The sequence below is a fragment of the Homo sapiens genome, chromosome 20, assembly GCF_000001405.40.
Source record: "Homo sapiens chromosome 20, GRCh38.p14 Primary Assembly".
Classification (NCBI taxonomy): domain Eukaryota; kingdom Metazoa; phylum Chordata; class Mammalia; order Primates; family Hominidae; genus Homo; species Homo sapiens.
Genome location: NC_000020.11, coordinates 45,886,317 through 45,913,159, shown reverse-complemented (window position 1 = coordinate 45,913,159; position 26,843 = coordinate 45,886,317). Strand labels below are relative to the sequence as shown.

The 26,843-nt window shown below is 53.3% G+C and overlaps 4 protein-coding genes across 12 annotated transcripts, besides 7 other annotated features; 3 read left to right on the top strand and 1 right to left on the bottom strand.

The window, feature by feature from the left end:
* Positions 1,005 to 14,540, top strand: PLTP (phospholipid transfer protein). 4 transcript variants are annotated; one of them, NM_006227.4, is made up of 16 exons: positions 1,005 to 1,081; positions 1,697 to 1,807; positions 1,909 to 2,008; positions 3,090 to 3,218; positions 3,489 to 3,644; positions 5,256 to 5,319; positions 5,405 to 5,468; positions 6,801 to 6,892; positions 8,042 to 8,218; positions 8,301 to 8,360; positions 10,556 to 10,720; positions 10,826 to 10,893; positions 13,282 to 13,324; positions 13,475 to 13,538; positions 13,622 to 13,698; positions 14,097 to 14,538. In NM_006227.4, exons 2-16 carry the CDS (start codon positions 1,708 to 1,710, stop codon positions 14,217 to 14,219), a joined length of 1,482 nt encoding a protein of 493 aa, NP_006218.1. In that variant the 5' UTR covers positions 1,005 to 1,081; positions 1,697 to 1,707; the 3' UTR covers positions 14,220 to 14,538. The 4 variants fall into 4 exon arrangements, with proteins under 4 accessions (NP_006218.1, NP_872617.1, NP_001229849.1 ...); NM_182676.3 differs by lacking the exon at positions 3,489 to 3,644; NM_001242920.2 differs by lacking the exons at positions 3,090 to 3,218; positions 3,489 to 3,644.
* Positions 10,433 to 10,628: a silencer, noted in NCBI's record as "fragment chr20:44531171-44531366 (GRCh37/hg19 assembly coordinates)". NCBI's record gives its function as "represses an EF-1alpha promoter that drives an FKBP-Casp9 reporter gene in an ReSE screen in K562 erythroleukemia cells {active_cell/tissue: K562}" and the evidence as "EXISTENCE:reporter gene assay evidence [ECO:0000049][PMID:32094911]".
* CTSA (cathepsin A) lies at positions 14,340 to 21,825 on the bottom strand. Of its 4 annotated transcripts, none has more exons than NR_133656.2 (15): positions 21,781 to 21,825; positions 21,398 to 21,591; positions 21,133 to 21,244; positions 20,837 to 20,887; positions 20,676 to 20,762; positions 20,273 to 20,435; positions 19,849 to 19,940; positions 19,088 to 19,172; positions 18,419 to 18,510; positions 18,259 to 18,337; positions 18,027 to 18,166; positions 16,120 to 16,195; positions 15,354 to 15,443; positions 15,051 to 15,155; positions 14,340 to 14,793 (listed from the first exon to the last, which is right to left on the bottom strand). NR_133656.2 is itself a non-coding variant. In NM_001127695.3 (15 exons), exons 2-15 carry the CDS (start codon positions 21,589 to 21,591, stop codon positions 14,710 to 14,712), a joined length of 1,443 nt encoding a protein of 480 aa, NP_001121167.1. In that variant the 5' UTR covers positions 21,735 to 21,825; the 3' UTR covers positions 14,340 to 14,709. The 4 variants fall into 4 exon arrangements, 3 of the variants coding, with proteins under 3 accessions (NP_001121167.1, NP_000299.3, NP_001161066.2); NM_001127695.3 differs by having other exon boundaries at positions 20,280 to 20,435; positions 21,735 to 21,825; NM_000308.4 differs by having other exon boundaries at positions 20,280 to 20,435.
* Positions 21,489 to 21,538: an enhancer, noted in NCBI's record as "active region_17954". NCBI's record gives its function as "activates an Ori minimal core promoter by ATAC-STARR-seq in GM12878 lymphoblastoid cells {active_cell/tissue: GM12878}" and the evidence as "EXISTENCE:reporter gene assay evidence [ECO:0000049][PMID:35858748]".
* Positions 21,579 to 21,848: a silencer, noted in NCBI's record as "silent region_12966". NCBI's record gives its function as "represses an Ori minimal core promoter by ATAC-STARR-seq in GM12878 lymphoblastoid cells {active_cell/tissue: GM12878}" and the evidence as "EXISTENCE:reporter gene assay evidence [ECO:0000049][PMID:35858748]".
* Positions 21,579 to 22,487: a biological region, named in NCBI's record as "H3K27ac-H3K4me1 hESC enhancer GRCh37_chr20:44519312-44520021".
* Positions 21,778 to 22,487: an enhancer, noted in NCBI's record as "H3K27ac-H3K4me1 hESC enhancer chr20:44519312-44520021 (GRCh37/hg19 assembly coordinates)". NCBI's record gives its function as "activates a minimal SCP1, AML or CMV promoter by ChIP-STARR-seq in naive H9 embryonic stem cells {active_cell/tissue: H9 hESC(naive)}" and the evidence as "EXISTENCE:reporter gene assay evidence [ECO:0000049][PMID:30033119]".
* NEURL2 (neuralized E3 ubiquitin protein ligase 2) lies at positions 21,952 to 24,526 on the top strand. 2 transcript variants are annotated; one of them, NM_080749.4, is made up of 2 exons: positions 21,952 to 22,910; positions 24,287 to 24,526. In NM_080749.4, the coding sequence occupies exons 1-2, from the start codon at positions 22,169 to 22,171 to the stop codon at positions 24,400 to 24,402; spliced, it is 858 nt and encodes a 285-aa protein (NP_542787.1). In that variant the 5' UTR covers positions 21,952 to 22,168; the 3' UTR covers positions 24,403 to 24,526. The 2 variants fall into 2 exon arrangements, with proteins under 2 accessions (NP_542787.1, NP_001265464.1); NM_001278535.2 differs by having other exon boundaries at positions 24,273 to 24,526.
* On the top strand, positions 22,144 to 26,669 carry SPATA25 (spermatogenesis associated 25). 2 transcript variants are annotated; one of them, XM_024451826.2, is made up of 3 exons: positions 22,144 to 24,588; positions 25,427 to 25,624; positions 26,015 to 26,669. In XM_024451826.2, exons 2-3 carry the CDS (start codon positions 25,570 to 25,572, stop codon positions 26,641 to 26,643), a joined length of 684 nt encoding a protein of 227 aa, XP_024307594.1. In that variant the 5' UTR covers positions 22,144 to 24,588; positions 25,427 to 25,569; the 3' UTR covers positions 26,644 to 26,669. The 2 variants fall into 2 exon arrangements, with proteins under 2 accessions (XP_024307594.1, NP_542175.1); NM_080608.4 differs by lacking the exon at positions 22,144 to 24,588 and having other exon boundaries at positions 25,538 to 25,624.
* Positions 25,826 to 26,326: an enhancer, noted in NCBI's record as "H3K4me1 hESC enhancer chr20:44515473-44515973 (GRCh37/hg19 assembly coordinates)". NCBI's record gives its function as "activates a minimal SCP1, AML or CMV promoter by ChIP-STARR-seq in naive H9 embryonic stem cells {active_cell/tissue: H9 hESC(naive)}" and the evidence as "EXISTENCE:reporter gene assay evidence [ECO:0000049][PMID:30033119]".
* Positions 26,327 to 26,827: an enhancer, noted in NCBI's record as "H3K4me1 hESC enhancer chr20:44514972-44515472 (GRCh37/hg19 assembly coordinates)". NCBI's record gives its function as "activates a minimal SCP1, AML or CMV promoter by ChIP-STARR-seq in naive H9 embryonic stem cells {active_cell/tissue: H9 hESC(naive)}" and the evidence as "EXISTENCE:reporter gene assay evidence [ECO:0000049][PMID:30033119]".

Here is a 26,843-nt window from a genome sequence, read left to right as displayed (position 1 = left end):
GCTGTTCAGAGCACCTTGCTCCAAGGGTTCATTAAAAAATCCACCAGTGGACCGGGCGCGGTGGCTCATGCCTTTAATCCCAGCACTTTGGGAGGCCGAGGCGGGCGGATCACAAGGTCAGGAGATCGAGACCATCCTGGCTAACACGGTGAAACCCCGTCTCTACTAAAAATACAAAAAAAATTAGCCGGGCGTGGCAGCGTGCGCCTGTAGCCCCAGCTGCTGGGGAGGCTGAGGCAGGAGAATGGCGTGAACCCGGGAGGCGGGGCTTGCAGGGAGCCGAGATCGCGCCACTGCACTCCAGCCTGGGGGACAGAGCGAGACTCCGTCTCAAAAAATAAAAATAAAAAAAATAGAAAAAACAATCCACCAGCCACGATAAATGGCAGACCTCCTTCTGATTTCAGCCGGTGTGGTATGTTCCTGGGCTGACAGCACTTGTCTAGTCTTGCTTTCCCAAGTGGGAAAGGTCTCTGGGACCTTAAGGTCCCCAGGTGGTGACACAGAGACAGGTAGGGGGGCCCATAGCAAAGCCAGGCAAGGAGGTCCCGAGATGATTGTGGGTGGCAGGGAAAGAAAAAATATTCCTTGACTTTGTGCCTGGACCTGGTTGTAATAAAGGCCCAAGAGGTAGTTCCTATCATCGTGCACATTTCGCTGAAGGAAGAAACTGAGGGTCAGTGACCCAAGTGAAGTGACTTGCCCAAGATCATGCAGGAAGACATGGATAATTGTAATTTGAACCAAGGTCCCAGCAAAGTGGGATTGTTGGGGCTGAGTGGGCCGGCTCCTGCATTTCCTTCCCTCTCCCTGGGCTTGGGTCTCCCACTTGTCCAGACAGCGGCCGGGCTTGTCACGGGGCTCTGTGCAGCCTTTTCCACTCTCCCGGCTGCCAGCGTCCCGCCCCGTCCCCTCCCAGCCCCCAAGGGAGGAGGGGAGAGCTGCAGAGAGGAGGAGGGGTCGGGGAGGCCGGCTTTATAAAGGCGGCTGGAACAACCCTGCCCGCCAGACCCCGTCGCCCGGATCCCCTGAGCTGCCCGCCATCCCACGTGACCGCGCCGCCCCCCAGCTCCACCGCTGAGTGAGTTGGGGCGCGTCCCTATCCCGTTCCCAGTCCCTCGCCGAGCCGCGTGGTGCACTGAAGCCGGCGTGGGGAGGAGAGCCGATGAAGGAGAACGCTAACATGGGGGCTCCAGGCAGAATCTCTAATGGGAGAGATTTAGGACCTGAGGGAGCCGGGAGACCCGGGAGCCCACGGTCTGGTCGGCCACCTCCTCTCCTCCCCGGGCGCGAGGCCTAGGAGACCGCAAGCCACCCTCCAAGAATGCGCGTGCAGTCGTTGCCGTGGCAACGTGCAAGCCTGCATGGGCCCACCGCTAAAGGAAAGGGGAGGTTGTTGGGGGTGTGGGGGCTGGTCCCCTGGAGGTCCAAACTCATCACGCGGCGGTAGCACGAGGGAACTGGGAACGTCCCCTCCCCCGTGTCCCAAATCCTCTGGGAGCCAGAACGCAAGTCGCATCGCCTCTCTGAGCCTCAGTTTCCACATCTGCCATATGGAGGCAAGATTATTGGTTCCAAGTTCCCCGAAGAGTTATCTGGAGGGTAACGATCCAGGCTAGTTCCCACTTATGGTTGGACGTCCAAGGAATGGGTTTAAGCGGCTCAGATAACTCCTGCGACCCCACCCCACCCCCAGGCCCGCTCGCCATGGCCCTCTTCGGGGCCCTCTTCCTAGCGCTGCTGGCAGGCGCACATGCAGAGTTCCCAGGCTGCAAGATCCGCGTCACCTCCAAGGCGCTGGAGCTGGGTAAGGCGCAGGGGCAGACAGGGACGGACGGGAGCGGACGGGGTTGGGGTCGCCCCAACAGTGGGCACGGGAGCTAAGTAAGGGTTTCTCTGCTGCTTCAGTGAAGCAGGAGGGGCTGCGCTTTCTGGAGCAAGAGCTGGAGACTATCACCATTCCGGACCTGCGGGGCAAAGAAGGCCACTTCTACTACAACATCTCTGAGTAAGTGGGGGGCGGGGCCTCGCGATCCGGGGCGGGGCCTCGGCGGTGGAGGCGGGGCCCGAGAAATCTCAGGGTCTCGGGAGACTGGAGGCTGAGTGGGATGGGGCGTGGCCAAATCGATGAGGCAAGACTTAAGAAACCGGATGGGGCCGAAAAGATAAAGGCCAAGCCAGTCATCATAGGCGGGACCAGGCAGATGGGCGTGGCCTTGAAAATGTAGAGGGGGCCAAGAAGGAAGCAGGACCAGTGGATGTGAGGCGTGGTCGAAGAACAACAGAAAGGTGGAGTCAAGGAACTTCCCAATAGATGAGAGTGGAGTCTCGGGCACGGGGTGGAGTTAATCGGAGGGGTGGAGAAACTGAAGGCTCTAAGTATGGTTTAGGATGAGGGAGGGGGAATAAGGAATTGAGATGTGAGACGGAGCTTAGGTGATGGAGGCAAAGTGAACGGACTCTATTAAAAGACCGGGTGTAGCAACCCCAGGGTGTGGGAGGGGAGGGGGTGCAAGCAAACAAGACTTTTTTTTTTTTTTTTTCTGAGAGGGAGTCTTGTTCTGTTGCCCAGGCTAGAGTGCAGTGGCGCGATCTTGGCTCACTGCAACCTCCGCATCCCGAGTTCAAGCGATTTTCCTGCCTCAGCCTCCCGAGTAGCTAGGACTACAGGCGCGTGCCACCACGGTCTGCTAAGTTTTGTATTTTTGGTAGAGACGGGTTTCACTATGTTGGCCAGACTGGTCTCGAACTCCTGACCTCAAGTGATCCGCCCTCCTCGGCCTCCTAAAGTGCTGGGATTACAGGCATGAGCCACCACCGCACCTGGCAAACAAACAAACAAGACTTTTAAGCGATGGGGTGAAGCTCATTTTTAACACCTGGATCAGGAAGACCTCCTCTCTCAGCCACCCAAGTTCAACTTTGAGCCACCCAAGTCTAAGTTGGGCACTTGAGGGACAATGGAAGAATTCATTCCACCCACTCCCGCTTCCCCAGGCCTGGACTTGAAAGGGGAGCAGACAAATTTCCTGTCGTTGGGGGAAGTTCCCTCTTCTTGGCCCTGGATCTGACCCTGAGGCCTCCTGTAGGGTGAAGGTCACAGAGCTGCAACTGACATCTTCCGAGCTCGATTTCCAGCCACAGCAGGAGCTGATGCTTCAAATCACCAATGCCTCCTTGGGGCTGCGCTTCCGGAGACAGCTGCTCTACTGGTTCTTGTAAGGACCCAGCACCCTCAGGGGAGTGGAGAGTGGGTCAGGAGGGCTGGAGGTGCTGTGGGGCTGTGGGCAGCCCCCTTAGCCTTCCTGAGTTTCCGTTTCTTCATCTGTGTAACAGAAACAGGCATATGCATTTCATACGAGTTGATAGGAAGGTTTGGTAGGATGTGTGGAAAGAGGTGAAACCTTATTAAGAGGTATGGTGATGCATGGGGGCACTGAAGACTCAATTGAGCTCCTACCTGGAGTGAATATTAACCCCCCTGGCAGCTATGATGGGGGCTACATCAACGCCTCAGCTGAGGGTGTGTCCATCCGCACTGGTCTGGAGCTCTCCCGGGATCCCGCTGGACGGATGAAAGTGTCCAATGTCTCCTGCCAGGCCTCTGTCTCCAGAATGCACGCGGCCTTCGGGGGAACCTTCAAGTAAGCCCCAGCCCCAACCCCAGCTCACCCTTTTCGAGCCCCACAGCTCATCTGCCTAGCGCAATGCAAAGTGCATAGGCCTGGGAATCAGACCAACTGGGTCCAAAGCTCAGCTCTGTCACTTCCTGGCTGTGTGAACGTGGCCAAGTCACTGAAGCTTGGTGCCTCAATATCCTCATTTTATAAGATCCTATTTTATAAGATCGTTGTCAGGATTATTTGTGTTGGTATATGTAAAAAATATTTAGAACAAGGCTGGCTGTGGTGGCTCATGCCTGAAATCCCAGCAATTTGGGAGGTCTGGGCGGGCGGATCACAAGGTTAACAGATCGAGATCATCCTGGCCAACATGGTGAAACCCCATCTCTACTAAAAATACAAAAATTAGCTGGGCGTGGTGGCACGTGCCTGTAGTCCCAGCTACGTGGGAGGCTGAGGCAGGAGAATCGCTTGAACCCGGGAGGCGGAGGTTGCAGTGAGCTGAGATCGTGCCACTGCACTCCAGCCTGGTGACAGAGCAAGATTCCATCTCAAAAAAAAAAAAAAAAAAAAATTTAGAACAGCACCTGGCATATGATAAATGTATATTTAAGTGCTGGCCACTTAGATAAGAGTAACTGTGAGGACTATCTGATATGCACATTTGGCCATGTACTGGATTCTCAATAATTGGTATCTCTAAATAATAATAACAAAAATAATAATTTTTTTTTTGAGAGGGAGTCTCACTGTGTCACCCAGCCTGGAGTGCAGTGGCGCCATCTCGGTTTACTGCAACCTCCACCTCCTGGGTTCAAACGATTCTCCTGCCTCAGCCTCCCAAGTAGCTGGGACTACAGGCATGCACCACCATGCCCAACTACTTTTTTTGTATTTTTAGTAGAGACAGGGTTTCGCCATATTGGCCACGCTGGTCTCAAACTCCTGATCTCAGGTGGTCTGTCCGCCTCGGCCTACCAAAGTGCTGGGATTACAGGCCTGAGCAACTGTGCCCGGCCTATTTTTTTATTTTTGCTGCTGAGAAGGGGATATTGTTCTTGTTCTGGAAGAGGATGGGGGAGAGAAGATGATGGATTATAACCTGGTGTTGGTACACTGTCAGTATTATTTATTCATCAAACAAAGTGTATGCCAGTCCCTGAGGATGCAGGAAGGAGCTCAGAGCCTATCTGGAGCAAAAAACATTTGATATCAGGGCCTGGAGAGAAGGACTAAGAAAATGCTTTGGGGATTCAGAGGAGGGGAATCTGGGAAGACTGCCTGGAAGAGGAAGCATCTGAGCTCAGATGGGAAAATACAGAGTAGGAATGCAGAGGGCGGAAGGGAGGGCATCAGTAAGCCGATGGATGTGGGGATGCTCAGAGTGGGTTTGAGGCAATGTGGGTGGATTCATTTGACTGATGGGACCAGAGAGTAGGTCAGGAGGTCTTGAGAATTAGACTGGAGAGGGAATTTGGGCCTGGTTCTTGGAAAACCTACGTGGAGGAGCTGTTATTCAGGCTGAAGCTGAGGACTCCTACTGCCACTATTTCCCTAGTCACTGATTTCTCCTGGACCTGGACTGGGGTGGAGGCAGGTTCTGGGCTCATCCGGCCTCTCCTCTCCTCACAGGAAGGTGTATGATTTTCTCTCCACGTTCATCACCTCAGGGATGCGCTTCCTCCTCAACCAGCAGGTGTGGGCAGCGACAGGTCGCAGGGTGGCAAGGGTGGGCATGCTCTCACTTTGAGAAGGCCCTGACTCTGGCTCCCACCTCGCAGATCTGCCCTGTCCTCTACCACGCAGGGACGGTCCTGCTCAACTCCCTCCTGGACACCGTGCCTGGTGAGTTGGTGGCGGGTGAGTCTGGGTGTGCAGCTGTCATGCAGCACCTCAGAGCAGGCCCCTTCCGAGCCCTGCTGTTGAACAGTCCTGGGTTCAAATGTGGCCCCTGGAGCTGACTTGTTGTGCGATTTTGGGTGAAGTGCTCATTTCTGTCTGGGCAAAGTGCTTGTTTCCTCACTTGGCTGGCAGTGCCTCCTCCTGGGGTTGCTGTGAGGATTATCTGAGAGAATAGTTGTCAAGGTCCTCAATATGTGCATGCTGATCACTGGCATCCCATTTGTCTTCATCACCTAGCATCTAATAGGTGCTCAATTAACATGAATTCCCTTTTTCTTTTTCTTTCTTTTTTTTTTTTTTTTGCACGGAGTCTTACAGTCTCACTCTGTTGCCAGGCTGGAGTCCAGTGGCGCGATCTCAGCTCACTGCAATCTCCACCTCCCGGGTTCAAGCAATTCTCCTGCCTCAGCATCTCGAGTAGCTGGGACTACAGGCGTGCACCACCATGCCCAACTAGTTTTTTGTGTTTTAGTAGAGACGGGGTTTCACCATGTTGGCCGGGATGGTCTCGATCTCCTGACCTCCTGATCTGCCCACCTTGGCCTCCCAAAGTGCTGGGATTATAGGCATGAGCCACTGTGCCTGGCCATGAATTCCCTTTTTCTAAGCCATGACCTCTGTCTACTGTGGGGCAAAGGTATTTTCCCATCACACCTAACACACAGGCATGGGAAGCGAAGGAGGAGGTAGGAGAAACCAAGGGAAAGGAACCTCATGCCATCTTTTTTTTTTTTTTTTTTTTTTGAGATGGAGTCTCGCTCTGTCACCCAGGCTGGAGTGCAGTGGTGCAATCCTGGCTCCCTGCAACCTCCACCTCCCAGGATCAAGCGATTCTCCTGCCTCAGCCTCCTGAGTAGCTGGGATTACAGGCGCCCACCACCATGCCCAACTAATTTTTGTATTTTTAGTAGAGACGGGGTTTCACCGTGGTGGACCAGGCTGGTCTCGAACACCTGACCTCAGGTGATCCGCCCGCCTTGACCTCCCTAAGTGCTGGGATTACAGGTGTGAGCCACCATGCGCGGCCCCCCCATGCCATCTTGTTTAGTTATTTTTTTGAAACCTCTATAGTGGTAGTAATAATAATAACTAACATTAATGAGCACCTAACTACACACCAGGCCCTAAGTGCTTTCCACATAAAACTAATTTGACCCTCATGACAACCCTGTGAAGGATGTATCCTCATTTTATGGGTGGGCCTCTGAGCCTGGAGAGGTTAAGCACCTTATCCCACATCACACAGCCGTGAGTGACTTGAGCCCCTTCCTGCAGTGCGCAGTTCTGTGGACGAGCTTGTTGGCATTGACTATTCCCTCATGAAGGATCCTGTGGCTTCCACCAGCAACCTGGACATGGACTTCCGGGTGAGCTGCTTGGGCTGGTGTATGACCTCTGACTTCCTAACAAGACCTCTTTCTCTGCTAAGTTGCAAGATTTTACTTCTTAAAGCACAGCTCTGATGAGGCCACTCCCATTACTGAGAATGCTATGGCTCCCTGTTACTACAGAATTAGGTTCAGCCTCCTGGGTCTGGCATTTGAGCCCCTGTTAATCTTACCTGGCCCCACCTTTTATATCTCATCCTGTTTCTTTGCAGCTGCTCTTTCCCAAATTGGACCCTGGCTTCCCACCTCAGGGCCTTTGCTCATGCACGGCCTTTCCCCAACTCCCCCGAAGGAGCTGGACATAAATTTCTATACAAATAATCTCATTTCATTCTCTCACAACCCTGTGAGTCAGGTACTAACATCATCCTAATTTTAGGAATGTGGAGACTTACTCATAGAGGTGACGTCACTTGCCCAAGGCCACATAGCCAGTGTGTAGCCACTACCTTTGGTCTCCCAGAGGAGTATAGCAGTTTCAGAGTGCAGACTCGGGAGCTAGAATCAGTCGGGTGCAGTGGCTCATGCCTGTAATCCCAATACTTTGGGAGGCCCAGGCGAGAGGATCGCTTGAGCCCAGGAGTTTGAGACCAGCTTGGGCATCATAGTGAGACCTCCTTCTCTACAAAGAGAAAAAGAATGCCTGAAGTTCAAATCCTAGCTCTGCCACTGACTAGCTGCACGGCCCTAAGCATAAGTTTTCAGTTGGCCAGTTTCCTAACATGTAAATGGAAATAATCTAGTAAGAAAACACACGTTGTTATGCAGATTAAAGAAGTCGATCTATGTGAAGAGCTTAGAGTACTTGGCAAAGAAGCATGAGTATGCACAATATATGTAAACAGTAGCTGTTGTTACTGCCTCTAGCTTTCAAGGCCCACTCAGATGTCACCTCTTCCCTGAAACCTTTCCTGACCCTCCCTCCTCCAGTCTGACGGGCTCGCCCCCTGGTAGCAGGTGTCCTCCTTCCAATGCCTTTTAAGAGATGTGCTTGTGAATCCTCCAAGAACAGCAGCTGGGTTCCCACCATCCCCCCACAGTGCCTAGCACGGGGCTGGGAGACACCTGCTGTCAGTCCAGGTGCCAGGCCAGTCTGCCTTGACCCTGACTGTGAATGCCCCACCCCAGGGGGCCTTCTTCCCCCTGACTGAGAGGAACTGGAGCCTCCCCAACCGGGCAGTGGAGCCCCAGCTGCAGGAGGAAGAGCGGATGGTGTATGTGGCCTTCTCTGAGTTCTTCTTCGACTCTGCCATGGAGAGCTACTTCCGGGCGGGGGCCCTGCAGCTGTTGCTGGTGGGGGACAAGGTATGTCATGGCCTGTTTGTGGGATGGGCAAGAGAAGGTCTGTGACAGAGCTCACTCCCTCACTCCTGATTCCCCTGTTCAGGTGCCCCACGACCTGGACATGCTGCTGAGGGCCACCTACTTTGGGAGCATTGTCCTGCTGGTGAGTGCTGGCGGGGGCAGGGATAGGGCCACCTGCACACCAGTGAGACCAAGGAGGGGTGCAGGTGGGGCCCCCAGTGGCAGCCACGCAGACAGGGCCCTGGCCTCTTGTCTGTGGCCAATCCCCCTCGCCTTGTCATGGCTGTTCCTGTCTGTGAAGCGGTCTGCTCCTTCCTGCTCCTTCCTGCCCCATCTCCTTCGCAGAGCTGCTGTGAGGATTAGTGAGAACCCAAGCTTTGCAAGTGTGAGGGCTTTAATAATAATTCACATATACTTTTGTTTATTTGTGTATTGGGGAGGAGAGTAAGAGTTACACATTTTATTTATTTTTTTTTTTGAGACAAGAGTCTCACTTTGTCACCCAAGTTGGAATGCAGTGGCACAATCTAGGCTCACTGCAACCTCTGCCTCCCAGGGCTCAAGCCATCCTCCTGCTTCAGCCTCTTGAGTAGCTGGAATTACAGGCTTGTGCCACCACACCCCGCTAATTTTTATATTTTGTTGAGACAGAGTTTCATTATGTTGCTCAGGCTGTCCTTGAACTCCTGGGCTCAAGTGATCACCCATTTTTGGCCTCCCAAAGTGCTAGGATTACAGGTGTGAGCCACCGCACCTAGCAGAATTACAAATTTTAAAAGAAATAATTCAGTCATTATCATCATCCAATTTATGGCAGGGCAGGGTCTCTATTGTCAGACTGCCTGGGCTTCAAGCCTAGTTCTGAAACTGAGTAACTACATAACCTCTACAAGTTACTTAACCTATCTGTGCCTCAATTTCCCCATCTCAAAAATGGGGATATGGCTGGGCATGATGGCTCACGCCTATACTCTGAGAACTTTGAGAGGTCAAGGTAGGAAAATTGCTTGAGCCCAGGAGTTTGAGACCAGCCTGGGCAACACAGTGAGACACTGTCTCTATTGAAAAATAAATTTTTAGTCAGATCTTTTTTTTTCGGTGGGGGGACAAAGTCTCACTCTGTCACCCAGGCTGGAGTGCAGTGGCGCAATCTTGGCTCACTGCAATTGAACCTCCCGGGTTCAAGCAATTCTCTGCCATGACGACTCAGCCTGAAAAATAAATTTGTAAAAAATAACAACAACAAAATTGGCAGTAATAATATCGGCCTCACATGGTTATTATGAGGTTTAAAGGAACCAACACATATACAGTGTTTAGAATCATGTTTGGTGAAGATTAGGCAGTTGCATCTTATAGTATTCCTTCACTGCCTATAGAAGAAGGCATAGCAGTTTAGAGAAAGAAGATATGGCCAGGCACGGTGGCTCACGCCTGTAATCCCAACACTGTGGGAGGCTGAAGCCGGCAGATCACTTGAGCCCAGGAGTTTGAGACCAGCATGGGCAACATGGCCAAACCCCGTCTCTACGAAAACACAAAAGCAAAAACCAAAACAAAAAACAAATACAAAAATAAGCCAGGCGTGATGGCATGAACCTGTGGTCTCAGCTGTTCAGGAGGCTGATGTGGCAGGATAATTTGAGCTGAGGAGGTTGAGGCTGCAGTGAGCCGTGATCATGCCACTGCACTCCAGCCTGGGCAACAGAGACCCTGTCTCAAAAAAAAAGGAGAGAGAGAGCAAAAAGATATGGCAAGGGGTTTGGGTGTGGTGGCTCATGCCTGTAATCCCAGCACTTTGGGAGGCCGAGGTGGGCGAATCACTAGCCTGGCCAATATGGCGAAACCCCGTTTCTATTAAAAATACAAAACTTAGCCGGGCATGGCGGCAGGTGCCTGTAATCTCAGCTACTTGGGAGGCTGAGGCGGGAGAATCGCCTGAACCTGGGAGACAGAGTTGCAGTGAGCCGAGATTGTGCCACTGCACTCCAGCCTGGGCAACAAAGTGAGACTCCATATCAAAAACAGAAGACATGGCAAGGGCTGAGATACTAATGCAAAAAGGACATCCACAAAGAGTCTGGATTGGAGATAGACCTGAATATTGAGATGTATTTAGGAAGCAGAAAGAGAAGAACACATTCCTGTTTCTTTGTGTGGCAAAGGCATGAAGGCTAGATGCAGATGTGAGAGTTTTGGAAGCCAGAGCTCCCTCTGTATTTGCAATATGAGAGTCCCCAGAGGACAGAAGCTGCACCTGCCTTCCTTCCCCTTCTTCCCTGGGGGCTCCAAAGGAAATGGCAGGGACTTGACCCGCCCCTGCTGCTCATCCCCCAGAGCCCAGCAGTGATTGACTCCCCATTGAAGCTGGAGCTGCGGGTCCTGGCCCCACCGCGCTGCACCATCAAGCCCTCTGGCACCACCATCTCTGTCACTGCTAGCGTCACCATTGCCCTGGTCCCACCAGACCAGCCTGAGGTCCAGCTGTCCAGCATGACTATGGTACGGGTCCCAGAGTGGGGGCTGCTGGCTGGGGGTCAGGGAAAAATGGGCTGTGGGTTACTGACCTTCTGGGTCAGTAACATCCTCCTCCCCATGTTCCTGCAGGACGCCCGTCTCAGCGCCAAGATGGCTCTCCGGGGGAAGGCCCTGCGCACGCAGCTGGACCTGCGCAGGTAGGCAGGCGCACTTCCCTGCACCTCAGTGATTGGAGGACAATCACACCTGTCCACAGGGATGTTGCGCTTAAAGTACAGTGATACCTGTAAGCCACTGAGAGCTGGGGTCTGTCTTTGTTAATGCATGCCAAAGTGCTTTGGTAAAGTCTGACTCCTCTGCATTCTCACATGTCCCAGAGGCAGGCAGGGCAGGTATTATGAGAGATGAACAAATGGGTCCAGCAATGTTAAATAACATGCCCACAGTCACACAGCAAAGATCAGAACATGGGTTTTGACAAAAACCTCAGCACAACACAGCTTTGTGACCTTGAGGCCATTTTATCTTTTTTAAAAATGTTATTATTCTTTTTTTTTTTTTTTTGAGAAGGAGTTTCGCTCTTGTTGCCCAGGCTGGAGTGCAATAGCGTGGTCTTGACTCACTGCCACCTCTGCCTCCCGGGTTTAGGCAATTCTGCCTCAGCTTCCTGAGTAGCTGGGATTACAGGTGTGCGCCACCACGCCCGGCTAATTTTTGCATTTTTAGTAGAGACAGGGTTTCACCATATTGGTCAGGCTGGTCTCAAACTCCTGACCTCAGGTGATTCACCTGCCCCGGCCTCCCAAAGTGCTGGGATTATAGGTATGAGCCACTGTGCTTGGCCTTATTTTATTGTATTTATTTATTTTTGAGACAGAGTCTCACTCTGTTGCCCAAGCTGGAGTGCAGTGGTGCAATCATAGCTCACTGCAGCCTTGACCTCCTGGGCTCAAGTGATCGTCCAGCCTCAGCCTCCCGAGTAACTGGGACTGCATGCATGCACTACCATGCCTGACTATTTTATTTTTTGTAGAGATGGGGTCTCACTTTGTTGTCCAGGCTGGTCTCCAATTCTCGGGCTCAAGTGATCGTCCCACCTTAGCCTCCCAAAGTGCTAGGATTACAGGCGTGAGCCACCGCACCCAGCCCATTTTGTCTTTCTAGGCCTCATTTTCTCCATGTGTTTAATACAGGCAAAAGTAGCATCTGCCTTCTAGGGCTGTGCTATCCAATATGGTAGATACTAGCCACATGTGACTATTTACATTTAAATTAATTATAATTAAATAGTTTTTCAGTTGCACTAAGCCACATTTCATTAGCCACATGTGGCTAGTGACTACCATAGTAGACGGTGCAGATACAAAACGTTTCACAGAAAATCTGACTGGACAGTGCTGTTCTAAGGTTAAAGGAGATAATGTAGGTTAGGACCCTAGGTTCTAGAGGCAGCTTCTGACACTTTCCAGCTGTGTGACTTCAGGCAAATTACTTAACCTTGCAGGGCCTCATTTTCCTCATCTATAAATTAGTGCAAATCCTAATAGTGCCCACTCCTTGGGCTTGTTTTGAGGACTAAACCAGTTGGTACTGTATTTTAAAACAGTTTACTAATATTAACTTTTTAAACACGTTGGCTGGGTGCAGTGGCTCACACCTGTAATCTCAACACTTTGGGAGACCAAGGCGGGTAGATCGCTTGAGGCCAGGAGTTCGATACCAGCCTGAGCTACAAAGTGAGATCCTGTCTCTACAAAAAAATTTAAAAGTTAGTTGGTCATAGTGATGCACGCCTGTGGTCCCAGCTACTTGGAAGCCTGAGGTGGGAGGCTGACTTGAGCCCTGGAGGTCAAAGCCACAGTGAGTAAAATTACACCACTGCCCTCCAGCCTGGGCAACACAGTGAGACGCTGTCTCAAAAATAAATAAAAATAAAAAAAGAAAATAAATATGCTTAGTGTCTGACAGGAACTAAGCAATGTGAAGTTTTGTTACATAAAATAAATAACACCTGCAAAGCTACCAGCAGAAGTCTGGCACATTAGAAGTGCTCAATAAAGGCCGGGCGTGGTGGCTCACGCCTGTAATCCCAGCACTTTGGGAGGCCGAGACGGGCGGATCACAAGGTCAGGAAATCCGAGACCATCCTGGCTAACACGGTGAAACCCCGTCTCTACTAAAAACACAAAAAATTAGCTGGGCTTGGTGGCGGGCACCTATAGTCCCAGTTACTCGGGAGGCTGAGCCAGGAGAATGGCGTGAACCCGGGAGACGGAGCAGTGAGCCGAGATCGCGCCACTGCACTCCAGCGTGGGCGACACAGCGAGACTCTGTCTCAAAAAAAAAAAAAAAAAAAAAAAAAAAAGAGGTGCTCAATAAATAAAAAGTAGCAGTCTTGGAGAAAAGGAGACCCAAGTGGCAGCAATGACTGCCCCGAGGATACCTGGAAAGTTGTAGCACTTGGAAAGGTGCCTAGGTGGGCATCTGAGCCTGCAACTCAGACACCTCTGGCAGGTAGGCCTGGGTGGCCTGAGGAAGGGGAGCTTCCAGGCTTCCTGCCCACAGGGCTCCTTTCTTTCCCGCAGGTTCCGAATCTATTCCAACCATTCTGCACTGGAGTCGCTGGCTGTGAGTGGGGAAGGGTGGGTGGGCTGGGCTGGGTTCGTGAGATCCTGACCCTCACCATCCCCCCCTCCTCATATAACTGCTCACCTGCGGGCAGCTAAAGGCAAACCCAACCCTGACTCACTGCCCTGTTTCCGCCCTCGCCCCTCCCAGCTGATCCCATTACAGGCCCCTCTGAAGACCATGCTGCAGATTGGGGTGATGCCCATGCTCAATGGTAAGGCTGGGGTGTGAGGATGGAGGAAGAAAGGAGGGGTGAACTGGGCGGGCCCAGACTGAGCGGGGTGCTCCCACCCACAGAGCGGACCTGGCGTGGGGTGCAGATCCCACTACCTGAGGGCATCAACTTTGTGCATGAGGTGGTGACGAACCATGCGGTGAGTGGGGGCAGGATGGGGAAGGAGGGAGGGCCTTCCCCTCTCTCTATAGCTCCCCAGTGCCCTCCATTACCTGACCCCAGCTCCCCCATTACCAGTCGCCCCTCCCATTTTAATCTTAGACTCCTAAAAGCCGTTGCACACACTGTGACTTCTTGGAGCACTCTTCTCCCATCCCAATACCTACTAATTGTTCAGGTCTTAGCTCAGAGGTCACCTCCTCCAAGAAGCCCTCCTTGACACCCATAGTCTACACTCCTACAGCCTCATTTTAACACCTTGACATGGAATTATCCATTAGATTGAGTTCCTGAAAGACAAACACTCTGTCTCTTGATCTCTAAACTCTGGCCTCAATAACTGAATGAATAAATGAGGCTCCCCTCTCCCCAACACAGGGATTCCTCACCATCGGGGCTGATCTCCACTTTGCCAAAGGGCTGCGAGAGGTGATTGAGAAGAACCGGCCTGCTGATGTCAGGGCGTCCACTGCCCCCACACCGTCCACAGCAGCTGTCTGAGCCCTCAATCCCCAAGCTGGCAGCTGTCATTCAGGACCCCAACCCCTCTCAGCCCCTCTTTTCCCACATTCATAGCCTGTAGTGCCCCCTCTAACCCCCAGTGCCACAGAGAAGACGGGATTTGAAGCTGTACCCAATTTAATTCCATAATCAATCTATCAATTACAGTCCGTCCACCACCTCCCTGTGGGCTGTCCTGAGCTCTGTTGGGTTCCTGGGATGGAATCAGTGCATCATAAAGGGCATTCTTTAAGCAGAGAAGGGGCCAGGCCACCCCATTCAGGAACTGCTGCGGGAATAAAGTGCTAACTTGCCCCCAGGCTGTCTATGGGAGACCCTGGGCCCAGTCTGGGATGTACAGGGCTCTGGGAAGGGGGCAGTCCTGGCGGCAGAACCCGGCCTGCAGGGGCACTTTGCTTAGAAGAGGACTCTCCTAGCGGGAGAGGCTGGGAGGGGCTGCATCAGGCCGTGGAGCTGGTTGCTGTGGTCATCAGTATGGCTGCTTGTTCAGGAAGCGGGAGAACATGGTGAAGGCAGCGAGGGGCTTGTCGGTGGGAACCATGTGGCCGGCGCCCTGAGGAGCAATGTTCGTGAGCTCCTGACCCCACCATTCCCTCCTCCCCATATAACTGCTCACTCGGGGGCAATTCCTTCATCCCAAACCCTTTATTCTTCCCAGAACCCTCCCCACCCCTCTCCAAAAAAACTTGCCCATACAGGGGCCAGATGGTGACCCATGACCCAGCCTAAAAGGCAGCCAGAGGGAAAGGACGGGTGGGTCCTGCTCCTTTGCCTCCGGCCCAGTTATCTCTCAGCAGGCCCAGTCCCTACCTTGATCGTGAGAAAGGCGATGTGGGAGAACTCCTTCACGAAGCCGGCAATCTGCTCCCCGCTGTCCCCGTACTTCACTAACCAGGGCCGGCGCTGCACCTCCATCTGCCCCACCAGGAAAGACATCAGCCTACAGCAGCTGCATCCTTGCTCACAGCTACCAGCAAGACCTTAGGGCTGGGAATTCCTCCACACTTGCCCTCTGTGGGCCAGAGCCAGGCAGCCAGCTGGCCACTCCCAGGCATACCCGCTCCCAATCCTCCACAGCAGCCCCTATCCCAGGGCCAGGAATCTCTACCTTACCTTCTGGTTGAGGGAATCCACAAACCACTCATCCCCCATGAAATTGCAGGCCATGTCTACATCTCCATTATATAATAGGATCTGGTATTTCTAAAGCAGGATGGGGTAAAAATGAGGGGTGTGGAACAAGCCCAGTCCCCAGCCCTTCCCTAGTTCAAGGCCTACCCCTCAGGAAATTCAAGGGGCCAAGCTAGATAACACGAACCAGGGAATTTTCATGTTTTCTAACGACTTACTGCATGTCCAGTATTCTACTAAATGTTTTATCTGTGAAGGTAGATATCATTATTATCCCCATTTTACAGATGGAGAACCTGAGGCTCATATTTAAGAAATTTGCCCAAGATTATGTGGCTAGTACAGGGACTTGCACCCAGGCCATGTGACTCCAGAGCCCATGCTATTAACCACTGTGCTGGACAGAACCTAGTCCTAACTTGGCCCTGCCAGTGCTTCCTATATCACCTTGTGCAAGGTCTCCTCCCACCCTGGACCTCTGCTGGCCCATTTTTGGCATGAATGAAGCTCTTCTCACCCTTAAGACTCCGTGGCTGATGCAGACCCCTAGGCCTCCTATAGCAGGACAGCATGGGTGGGGACAAACCCAGGTTCAAATTCTGACCCCACCAATCACAGGACCCTGGGCTTCGCCTTTCGGAGTTTCAGCTTCCCTTGTCCTGACAGGAAGTCTCAAGGGCCCCCAGCTTGCTGTGCTACTCTGGGGTCCTAAGGCTGCTGGTGATCCAGCTGTGCTCTCCCCACTCACCTGTGAGCTAAGCAGCTTCAGATACTGGGAGTTCATGCTTCGGTAGAGACGGCGGTACTGTAAGTTTACCAGAAAGCTGCCGGGAACATACGAGCAGGCCCCAGGAAGACCAGGTCGGGGCGAAAAGTAGTCAACAGATCAGACCTTCTCTCCTATCTCCAAGCTCCAACCCAGAAGGCAGACAGCTGGGTTCCACTCCCCTTTTTGGGGGGGGGCCACCTCTCTAGGACTGACTTGGATGTTGGGCTGGATGGGCTGGGATTCAGACAGCCTCAACTCACCACCATTTAGAAAGGTACAGGGATGCTGGGCGTGGTGGCTCACGCCTGTAATCCTAGCACTTTGGGAGACCGAGGTGAGTGGATCACGAGGTCAGGAGTTCGAGACCAGCCTGACCAACATGGTGAAACCCCGTCTCTACTAAAAAAAAAAATACAAAAATTAGCCAGGCGTGGTGGTGCGTGCCTGTAGTCCCAGCTACTCAGAAGGCTGAGGCAGGAGAATCACTTGAACCCGGGAGGCGGAGGTTGCAGTGAGCCAAGATCGCAGCACTGCACTCCAGCCTGAGTGACAGCAAGACTCCATCTCAAAAAAAAAAAGAAAAAGAAATGTACAAGGGACGCATTTTGGTTGTTACGAGGACTGGGATGCATCTGGCATTTAGTGTCTAGGGGCCAGCAGGTGTGGGAGTCACAACATACAACAGGGTAGAGTGTGAGCACTGACCAATCAAAATGGACCTGAGCAGCCCTGCTGGGCCCAGTGTTACCCTTTTACTTGGGGTTGTGGGGGGGGGTGGCCACAGGAGACTGGACATGGAAGTTAACAGTTTGTTATTGTTGTTTGAGATGGAGTTTCACTTTTGTTGCCCAGGCTGGAGTGCAGTAGCATGATCTCAGCTCACTGCAACCTCTGCCTCCTGGGTTCAAGCGATTCTCCTCCCTCAGCCTCCTGAATAGCTGGGATTACAGGTGCCCAACAGCACACCTGGCTAATTGTTGTATTTTTAGTAGAGATGGGGTTTCTTCATGTTGGCCAGGCTGGTCTCGAACTCCTGACCTCAGGTGATTCCCCCACCTCAGCCTCCAAAAGTGCTAGGATTACAGGCGTGAACCACTGCGCCCAGTCGGAAGTAATAGTTATTAACCAATGTGATGGCCGGGTGTGGGGACCCTCGCCTGTAATCCCAGCACTTTGGGAGGCCAAGGAGGGAGGATTGCTTGAGACCAAGAGTTTGAGACCAACCTGGACAACATAGTGAGACCCTGTCTCTACAAAAAAATTTTTTAAAAATTAGCCAGGAATGGTGGCATGTGCCTGTAGACCCAGCTACTCAGTAGACTAAGGTGGGAGGATCGCTTGAGCCTAGGAGGTTGAGGCTGTAGTGAACTGTGAAACAACAACCAATGTGGCTACGTAATGAAATGGGGCTGGGCGGGGTGGCTCATGCCTGTAATCCCAGTACTTTGGGAGGCTGAAATGGGCAGATCACTTGAGCCCCAGAGTTCAAAACCAGCCTGAGCAATGTGGTAAAACACCATCTGTACAAAAAATACAAAAACTTGTTGGGGGTGGTGGTGCGTCTGTAGTCCCAGCTACTGGGGAGGTGGGAGGATTGCTTGAGCCCATGAGTTTGAGGCTGCAGTGAGCTATGATCACACCACTGCACTCCAGCCTAGGTGACAGAGTGAGACCTTGTCTCAAACAAAAAAATTTTAAATTTAAAAAAGATAAAAGAATGAATTGGCTGACTCTCAATCCACTGAGGGGTCAGGGATGGATGTTAAACATCCTCTACAGCTCATCTCATTGAGAAACTCTACACAGAAGATCCCTGAGAAACCTGCCGATGCCCACAAGCCCCAGCAACCCACCACCCCAAGTCACAGGTGGCCACGGAACCTCACTTGCACATGTCCCATTGTGGCAGCTGCTCCGGGATGTTGAGGGCCTTCCGCACGTACGGGTTGTTGAGGTAGGTGGAAGCAGCTGTTGTGTTGGTGCAGGGGGGGTCCATGCGCACTTTATCCCCTGAGCGCAGCAGTGCCTGGAAGGCACAGACAGTGGGTCAGGGCCTCTGCTTCCCTGCCCCTCCCCCTGCCCCCACCTCACCAGGAGGAAGCCCACGCCCTCGCACACCTGATGCCACATCCGCTTGAGTGGCAGGCGAGTGAAGATGTTGCCCAAATCCTGGACCACAACAGTGTCCTTCTCATACCTGCAATGTGAGGTGGGGGAATGGGTGTGGAGCCTCCAGATGGGGCTGGGGTTGGCTCCAGGGGCACCCAGCAGCACCTACCTAAAATGGCTGGGCACCCCTCCAGCACACGGGGCATAGAGATTGTAGATGTTGAGGCCAGAGTTGCCCACGATGCGGGCCACTTCCTGAAGCTGCAATGATACACCAAGCCACCATGCTTTACAGATCCCCAGCCTCTCCACGACCCCACCAAGTTGTCCCAAGATTTACTGCTCTTGGATTTCACCTCTTCACCCACTTTTTTTCACAGGTAGGGAAACTGAGGCTCAGTGGCAGGAATCTTCCCAGACCTGGGTCCAAATCCTAGCATCACTGCCTCCCAACACTGTGACTTCAGACAGTGATTTCAAAATTCATAGCCCTCAGTTTCCTTATCTGGAAAATGTGGGTAGTATGATCTCATTTGAGGGGGAATCTTGAAGCTTAAATAATCTACATAGACACAGTTCAGCACAGTGCCTGCCACGTTGCAGGTGTTTGATAAATGTGAAGAAGTCCTTTCTCCTCACGGAGGTTATGGGATTTGCCACCATAGGAGGTGGTGGTGGGAATACACACTTAGACACATGTCCCAGAGAACACTAAATTGCTTAAAGGTGCAAGAAAGCAATGAGGGACGGAGAACAAGGAGTCCCCAAGGAGGGAATGTGGTCCTGTTCTCAGGATTAGGGATGGGAGAGCTCATGCAAAGTGATGGCAGAACCTCACATTGGTCACGCATTCCAGGTCTTTGTTGTCATAGAAGTTACACTTGTTTTGAGAGCAGCAGTGGGTCTGGAGAGAAGACCAAAGCCTGTAGGAGATGAGAGTGAAAAGCGCATCAGCTGCTGGTGGGAAGAGGAAGGCAGAGGAGGCGAGCATACCCCCCACCTCCCACCAACCTCCCTGACCCTAGGAGACTGGGAAAGATATCACAGGGTGTGGTCTGTATGTCATCTAAGCTAGCTCCCAAAGAGGTGCCCCAGGGTCATACAGACAGGCCTCCTTAGTTCCTTTAAAATCTGATTTCTGGCTGGGCGCTGTAGCTCATGCCTGTAATCCCAGCACTTTGGGAAGATCATTTGAGGCCAGGAGTTCAAGTCCAGCCTGGCCAACACAGCAAAACCCCATCTCTACTAAAAATACAAAAAATTAGGCAGGTGTGGTGGTACGCGCCTGTAGTCCCAGCTGCCTGGGAGTCTGAGGCATGAGAATTGCTTGAACCTGGGAGGTGGAGGTTGCAGTGAGCTAAGATCGTGCCACTGCACTCCAGCCTGGGTGACAAAGTAAGAATCTGTCTCAAAAAAAAAAAAAAGAAAGAAAGAAAAACTGATCTCTATTCTTTGGCCTTTCAGCACTAGGTTCTTTCTGCAACCCACCTGCTGCTCATAAACCTGGGCTGGGCCTGTCATATCATGTGCCTGGAGGACAGACCTGAGATCATGTGACCTGCCTCACCCCAGAGATTGCCCAACTGCCCTATCCCATACCTGTTCCCCAGAAGGCCATGGTAGTAGGCAAAGTAGACCAGGGAGTTGTCATTCTGCTCATAGGAGGAGAGTCCATTGCCCACAGCCAGCCCCTGTGAAACACCCAGGGTGCTCAGCTCATGTGGAGGGCAAAAAGGAAGAGCCTCCCTCACCCTACCACCCAGACCTTCAGCAATCCGGAAGCTGAAACCCAGGGTGGTTTATGTAGGCCGGTGGGTATGAGAGGCCACTCAATGCAAAACACAGAGCTGGCAGCCTGACAGGTGAGTTTCCTGTGTGGGAGGCACACAGACAGACCTAGGGCAGCCGGTGGTGGGGAGGTTATGCAGGAAGCTGGGTTGGATGGGGACATTGACCAGTCAGTCTGACCTTGCTAACTGTAAGGCCACAGCCTCAAGCTACCTCCCTTCCCTCCTGCAGCTACCCTGCACCTGAAGGTTCATGCTGGGATCCTGCATGACCAGCACGGCCAGGGTGGGGATGTAGATGCCAGCATAGCTCTCCCCGGTCAGGAAAAGTTTGTTGTTCTTGTACTCCGGAAAGAGGCGGAAGAAATCTTGAAGGGCCTCAAAATTGCTCTGGGCGACCTGGGGATGGCAGAGCAAGACAGAGGGAATCAGGAAGCTTTGGTATTTGAACTGGAAAGAACTTCAGAGATAATGACATTAACCCACCCTATTTGTGCAAGAGGAAGTGACTGGCCACCATACCACAATAGCATATGACAGAGCGAAAAGTAGACTCCAAGGCCATGCTCTCTCTCCCAGCATCATGCCATGGATGGAGGACCGGGGAGCCTGGGGCAGATGGGCAGGCACCAGACTCACCTCAGTGTCATTAGTTGCATAAAACTTGTCATCGGAGTAGGAGAAGCCCACCCCAGCTGGGGACTCCAGGTATAACACATTGGCAATCTAGAGGGGAGGGAAAAATTAGCTAAATGCCACCCCATCCAAGTGCCCAGACACACCCACAGCTCCAGCTATACCAGATTCCAAGAATAGGGGTTGTACTCCAGGGTGACACCATCTGGCTGGACCTGAGGAGGAAAGAGATGGCTGAGTAAGTCCCAAGGGCCAGCTGGGTGGAGGGAAAGGGCCACCATGAGAGGCACTTTACATGTGGGTAAAACCTCTGAGAGGTACAGGCAGCAAAGCCAATGGCATAGAGGAAAATCCCGAGGCTTAGAAGGAAGGAAACTTTTTGGAAAATCACAAAGCCCCTCTCTCGCTTTCCCCAGCCTTTTACTTTGGGAACTGTGCTTTCCCCCTGCTGTCCACTCACCAGGAAGGGGCCATGCTCTGTGAGGAGCCCATCTAGTGAGCTGCAGCCGGGACCCCCATTGAGCCAAAGCACCACAGGGCTGTTCTCGGGATCCTTCTGGGACTCCACAAACCTGGGAGGGGGGTCAGGGCAGGGTTGGCGCAGTTGGAGGGGCCCTTTCCAGCCCTCCCGGCTCCCAGGCATCCTCAGGGGTCTGCAGAACTACCCCCCATCCCTCATCCGTCATCTCTTCTCCCAATCCCGCCCAGAAGGCAGGGCGGCAGACCAGTAGTGGAGGTGCTTGGAGCCGGAGCCTTTGAGGTAGCCGGAGTACTGGCGGAAAGACGGCTGCTTGGCCAGCCCGGGGAGGCGCTGGATCTCGTCCTGGTCGGGGGCTGCCTCGCCTCGGGACGCCCAGGACACTAGCAGCAGCAGCAGCAGCAGCAGCAGGAACAGCGGCGGCGGCGCGGCTCGGATCATCTACGGGAGGCAGCAGAGGGGCTGTTGACTCGCTCCTCAGCGCTTCCGTGCAGCAGCCCCCGGGGAGTTGCTGGCGGCGCCTCCGCGAGGGAAGCCCCGGCCCCAGCGCCAGCTCCCACCCGCGAGCCTCCTCTGCCGCGCACCGATCCCGGGCTCGGGGATCCCCTCCAGCCTCCGGTGCCAGCTCACCTCTGCTCCCCCGCGTCCTTGCTCTCCAGGAGGCGCCCGGGGACTGGAAGTCATGTGTACGAGTCACGTGAACTCCGGCGCCACGTGACAGTCTTCCTCCCGCCCCTTCTTTGGTCCCTACGGACCTGGGGGGCGGTGGCGGTCAATGCCGGGTCAAGGTCCGCGGGCCTCGCAGATCGTAGCCCGGGCGCACGCGATCAGATGATCCTGTTGTGGACGGCTAAGTTGTAGGCGGGATGGCTGAGAAAGCGGCGCTAGGACCCCCGGGCAGAGGCTCGGGGAAGGGAGTCAGGGGGGAAATGCCTTACAAGGTCGCCTTGCGGTCACCATCATTGCCCGCCGCCCAAAATAGCCCCCGGCGCCAGCTGGCCTGCCCTATGGCCGAGAGATGGCTGCTGCCTCCGAGCCCGTGGATTCGGGTGCACTCTGGGGACTCGAGCGCCCGGAGCCCCCTCCCACCCGCTTCCATCGGGTGCACGGTGCCAACATCCGCGTGGACCCCTCTGGGACGCGGGCCACACGCGTGGAGAGCTTCGCCCACGGCGTGTGCTTCAGCCGCGAGCCGCTGGCCCCGGGCCAGGTCTTCCTGGTCGAGATCGAGGAGAAAGAGCTGGGCTGGTGCGGACATCTGCGTCTCGGTCTGACCGCGCTGGACCCCGCCAGTCTGGCCCCCGTTCCCGAGTTTTCTCTGCCCGATCTGGTCAACCTGGGCCACACCTGGGTCTTCGCCATCACGCGCCACCACAACCGCGTGCCCCGGGAGGGCCGCCCGGAGGCGGAGGCAGCGGCCCCCAGCCGACCTCCAACCCTCCTCGTGGAACCATATCTGCGCATTGAGCAGTTTCGCATTCCCCGGGACCGCCTGGTGGGCCGCAGCCGGCCAGGGCTCTACAGCCATCTCTTGGACCAGCTCTATGAGCTGAACGTGCTGCCTCCGACCGCGCGCCGTAGCCGCCTGGGTGTCCTCTTTTGCCCGCGCCCCGATGGCACGGCCGACATGCACATCATCATCAACGGCGAGGACATGGGCCCGAGCGCCCGGGGACTGCCAGCTGCGCAGCCCCTCTACGCGGTGGTGGACGTGTTTGCTTCCACAAAGAGCGTGCGCCTTGTCCAGCTCGAGTATGGCTGTAGGTATCCCTGGGCAGCGACCCCTCCTGGCTCAGTGTGGGGACTGGAATCTACTAGGGCTCCGTAGCCCATGTGCTAGGCCTTCGTCTGTCCGGCACTAGTTTAAGAGTGGGAGAATCTAGCTTCAAATTGCACCTCTGCTTGTGATCTTGCACAAGCCTCTACATGGTTTTGGGCCTTGGTACCTATCTTGGTTGATTGATTAAGATGCCCTACAAGTTCCCTTTTAGTTTTGATAGTGTTTCCTGTATTCACCTAGGGCAGGGATTCTAAACCAATTTTAGATATTAGGGGCCTCTTTGAGAATTGTTTGCCCTTTTCTTAGAAACATGCTTGGCCGGGCACAGTGGCTCACACCTGTAATCCCAGCACTTTGGGAGGGGGAGGCAGGCAGATCACTTGAGGCCAGGAGTTCGAGACCAGCCTGGCCAACATGGTGAAAGCCTGTCTCTACTAAAAATACAAAAAGTAGCTGGGTGTGGTGGCATGTGCCAATAATCCCAGCTATTCAGAAGGCTGAGGCAGGAGAGTCACTTGAACCCGAGAGGTGGAGGTTGCAATGAGCCGAGATCTCACCAGTGCACTCCAGCCTAGGCAACAGAGCAAGACTCTGAAAAAAAAAAGAAAGAGAGAGAGAGAGGAAGAGAGAGAAAGCAAGCAAGCAAGCAAGCTAGCTAGCTCAAGCCTGGGCAACAAAGTGAGACCCCATCTGTACAAAAAATTAAATAATTATCTGGGCATGGTGGTGCATGCCTGTAGTCCCAGCTATTTGGGAGGCTAAGGCAGGAGGATCGCTTGAGCCCAAGAATTGAAGGCTGCAGTTCACTGAGCACTGCACTTCAGCCTGGGTGACAGAGCAAGACCCTCTCTCTTTAAATAAAAAAAAAAAAAGAAAGAAAAGAAAGAAACATGCTCATAGACTTGGGCATATTGGCTATTGGCTTCGAGGCATAACAAACCCCAGACTGAGAGCTTCTTAATGCTGAGTATGATTCATTATAGCCCTGGTAAGCATTGCAGTTATACCTCTCATCACATTTCATGAACTCAATGCACCAGAACCCTCTTTGTGCCAGGCCTGTGCTGGAGGCTTCAGTTGCACAGGCAAATCAGACACTACCCCTGCCCCCAGAAGCTGCTAAGTGAATGGGGAAGGGATTGTGCTAAGTGTTATGATATAAACAGGGCTGCAGCTTTGTGGCAGCTCTCAGGAAGAGGTGCTTCTCTCAGCCCCATGAAGCAGGCTGGGCCCAGAGAGCAGTAAGGACTTGCCCACATTTAATGACAAAGTGGGGACCATGACCTAGACCTTCTGGATCTTGGCCTCAGACCCACCCTCCAGTTCAGTTTGCCTTTCACAGTCTTCTTCCCACAGTGCCATCCCTGCAGACTCTGTGCCGCCTAGTGATACAAAGGAGCATGGTGCACCGGCTGGCCATTGATGGGCTCCACCTGCCCAAAGAACTTAAGGATTTCTGCAAGTATGAGTGAAGACCCACAGTGCACCAGAGCACAGCTGCATCCTGGAGCCCCAGACCTGTGGCTGGCTGGTCCGAAGTTGGCCACATTGCTGCCAGCCAAGACCAGAAATAAACAGCCGATGCTGACATCTTGATCACTGGAAGGTCTCCTTGCCCCTACAGCCTATGAGAGTCACTTCGTTTAGAATCACTGCAGGTCAGCAGGTCGGAGCAAAAGAGCAGGGGTCCCTAGGCTGGCTGCTTGTTAGAGTCATCTTAGGATATGTAAAGAGTGCTGGTGTCCCACATCCCATCCCTAGGGATTCGTATTTGATTTGTTGGGAAATTAGGCCTAGACATTGTGTTTTGTAAAAGCTTCTCAAGAGATTCTCATGTACAGCCAGGGTTGAGAAGTATGTCCCTAGAAAAAAGGTTCCAACTTTGTCATATATTATAATCACTTGAGGAATTTTGAAAAATACCAATACCTGGCCTGTAATCCCAGCACTTTGGGAGGCCGAGGTGGGCAGATCACTTGAGGTCAGGAGTTTGAGACCAGCCTGGCCAACATGGTGAAACCCTGTCTCTACTAAAAATACAAAAGTTAGCCAGGTGTGGTGGCAGGTTCCTGTAGTCCCAGCTACTCGGGAGGCTGAGGCAGGAGAATTGCATGAACCCAGGAGGCAGAGGTTGCAGTGAGCTGAGGTCTTGCTCCTGCACTCCAGCCTTCCAGTCATGGCGACAAAGTGAGACTCTGTCTCAAAAAAAGAAAAAGAAAAATACCAATACTGGGTCTGACCCGAAGTCTTACTCTACAAGGCACGAAGCACTTGGCTCCTGTGTTTCCATCTCTGGTCATCTGCTTCCATACAAATGATCTCATTTCATCCTCAAAACTCCTAATGAGGTAGTGGGCAGTCATCAGACACACTTTACAGATAAGGATATCAAGGAACAAAACTATCTGGGTGACTCGTTCAAGGTTAGGGCAAGAACCTAGAACACCCAGCTCCTGGTCTGGTGCTCTTTTAACCTCATCCTATTGTCATGTCCAGGTTCTAGAATGAATAGGTCAACGCTGTAAAGTGGATTCCAAGTGTGAAGGGGAGGGTCTATGAGGTGACATTCTAGAAGGGTGAAGAAGGGAGGACAGGCGGCAGATCACTATTCCCTCACAAACCGGGGCTTTGGGGAAGCCATGTCCTACTTCAGGACTCCACAAACTCATCCAGGTCCTCTGCCTTCCGGCCAAGGTGAGCGGGGGGCACCTGCAATTGGAGGGAGTGCGGCAGCTTCCCCTGAGAAGTTGCTTTCTGGCTCTGGGGAGGTGGCGGTTCTGCTGGGCATTTGGGGGCTGGCCCTAGAATCAATTCTTTTAGAAGAAAAGCCATTCCAAACATCCTTGCCAATCAATAACTACCCGCTTGCTCACTATTCATTAATTCAACAAACGCTTCTCCATCACCTACTCCGTGTTGGGGACTGGGAGTGTGGATATGAGTAACACCTAGTTCCCAACCTCTAGACAGTCCGCTGGGGCTGGTCTTAGTTACGCCCCCAAGCTCTGCTCCCATGCCCTGCCCCTCAGGGCCCCCTCCTCAAAGAACTGAGAATAACGTTCCATTTCATTCCTGTCTCTGCAGGTGGGGCTGCTTCTCCAGGCTTGTCCCTTGGCCTCTGTAGTCCTGTAGAGCCAGTGGTGGTGGCCTCTGGTGGAACAGGCCCACTGAGCCAGAAAGCTGAGCAGGTGGCACCTGCTGCCCAGGCCTGGGGCCCAGCCCTGGCAATGCCACAAGCCAGGGGCTGCCCTGGGGGGACTAGCTGGGAGACACTACGGAAGGAATACAGCCGAAACTGCCACAAATTCCCGCATGTGAGGCAGCTGGAGAGCTTGGGCTGGGACAATGGCTACTCCAGAAGCAGAGCCCCTGACCTGGGTGGCCCCAGCAGGCCTAGGCCCCTGATGCTGTGTGGGCTGTCACCACGGGTTCTACCGGTACCCTCTGAGGCAGTGGGGAAGGAGGCCAGCTCCCAGCCTGATATCTGCATCCTCACCCTCGCCATGATGATCGCTGGCATCCCCACCGTGCCCGTCCCAGGAGTTCGGGAAGAGGACCTGATCTGGGCCGCTCAAGCTTTCATGATGGCCCATCCGGAGCCAGAGGGTGCTGTGGAGGGGGCGCGGTGGGAGCAGGCACATGCCCACACAGCCTCTGGGAAGATGCCCCTAGTGAGATCTAAAAGGGGCCAGCCTCCTGGCTCCTGCTTGTAGATGGATGAAATAGCACCAGATATGTAGGGTGGTTTCTCCGTATGGTTCTTGGGCAGACAGGGTTGGGAGGAGGGCCTATGGCAGGGATGGGGATAGAGCTGGTGGTTGAGCCATTCTGACAAATTCCAGTCCTTCATCAGGGACTTCCAGACCCTAAAGTTTCTCCAGATACCACTAAGACAGGAGATAGGTTTTGTCAG

What these genes read in the sequence shown, in the direction of transcription:
- PLTP (NM_006227.4), top strand. Translation starts at nt 1,708, where the DNA reads ATGGCCCTCTTCGGGGCCCTCTTCCTAGCGCTGCTGGCAGGCGCACAT. An exon ending in TTCTACTACAACATCTCTGA is followed by an intron (nt 2,009 to 3,089) that starts GTAAGTGGGGGG and finishes GGCCTCCTGTAG; the next exon opens with GGTGAAGGTCACAGAGCTGC. An exon ending in GCTTCCTCCTCAACCAGCAG is followed by an intron (nt 5,320 to 5,404) that starts GTGTGGGCAGCG and finishes CCCACCTCGCAG; the next exon opens with ATCTGCCCTGTCCTCTACCA.
- CTSA (NM_001127695.3), bottom strand. Translation starts at nt 21,591, where the DNA reads ATGATCCGAGCCGCGCCGCCGCCGCTGTTCCTGCTGCTGCTGCTGCTG. An exon ending in ACCCCTATTCTTGGAATCTG is followed by an intron (nt 20,763 to 20,836) that starts GTATAGCTGGAG and finishes CCTCCCCTCTAG; the next exon opens with ATTGCCAATGTGTTATACCT. An exon ending in ATGCAACTAATGACACTGAG is followed by an intron (nt 20,436 to 20,675) that starts GTGAGTCTGGTG and finishes TGCCATCCCCAG; the next exon opens with GTCGCCCAGAGCAATTTTGA.
- SPATA25 (XM_024451826.2), top strand. Translation starts at nt 25,570, where the DNA reads ATGTCCTACTTCAGGACTCCACAAACTCATCCAGGTCCTCTGCCTTCC. An exon ending in TCCTCTGCCTTCCGGCCAAG is followed by an intron (nt 25,625 to 26,014) that starts GTGAGCGGGGGG and finishes CTGTCTCTGCAG; the next exon opens with GTGGGGCTGCTTCTCCAGGC.
- NEURL2 (NM_080749.4), top strand. Translation starts at nt 22,169, where the DNA reads ATGGCTGCTGCCTCCGAGCCCGTGGATTCGGGTGCACTCTGGGGACTC. An exon ending in TGTCCAGCTCGAGTATGGCT is followed by an intron (nt 22,911 to 24,286) that starts GTAGGTATCCCT and finishes TTCTTCCCACAG; the next exon opens with TGCCATCCCTGCAGACTCTG.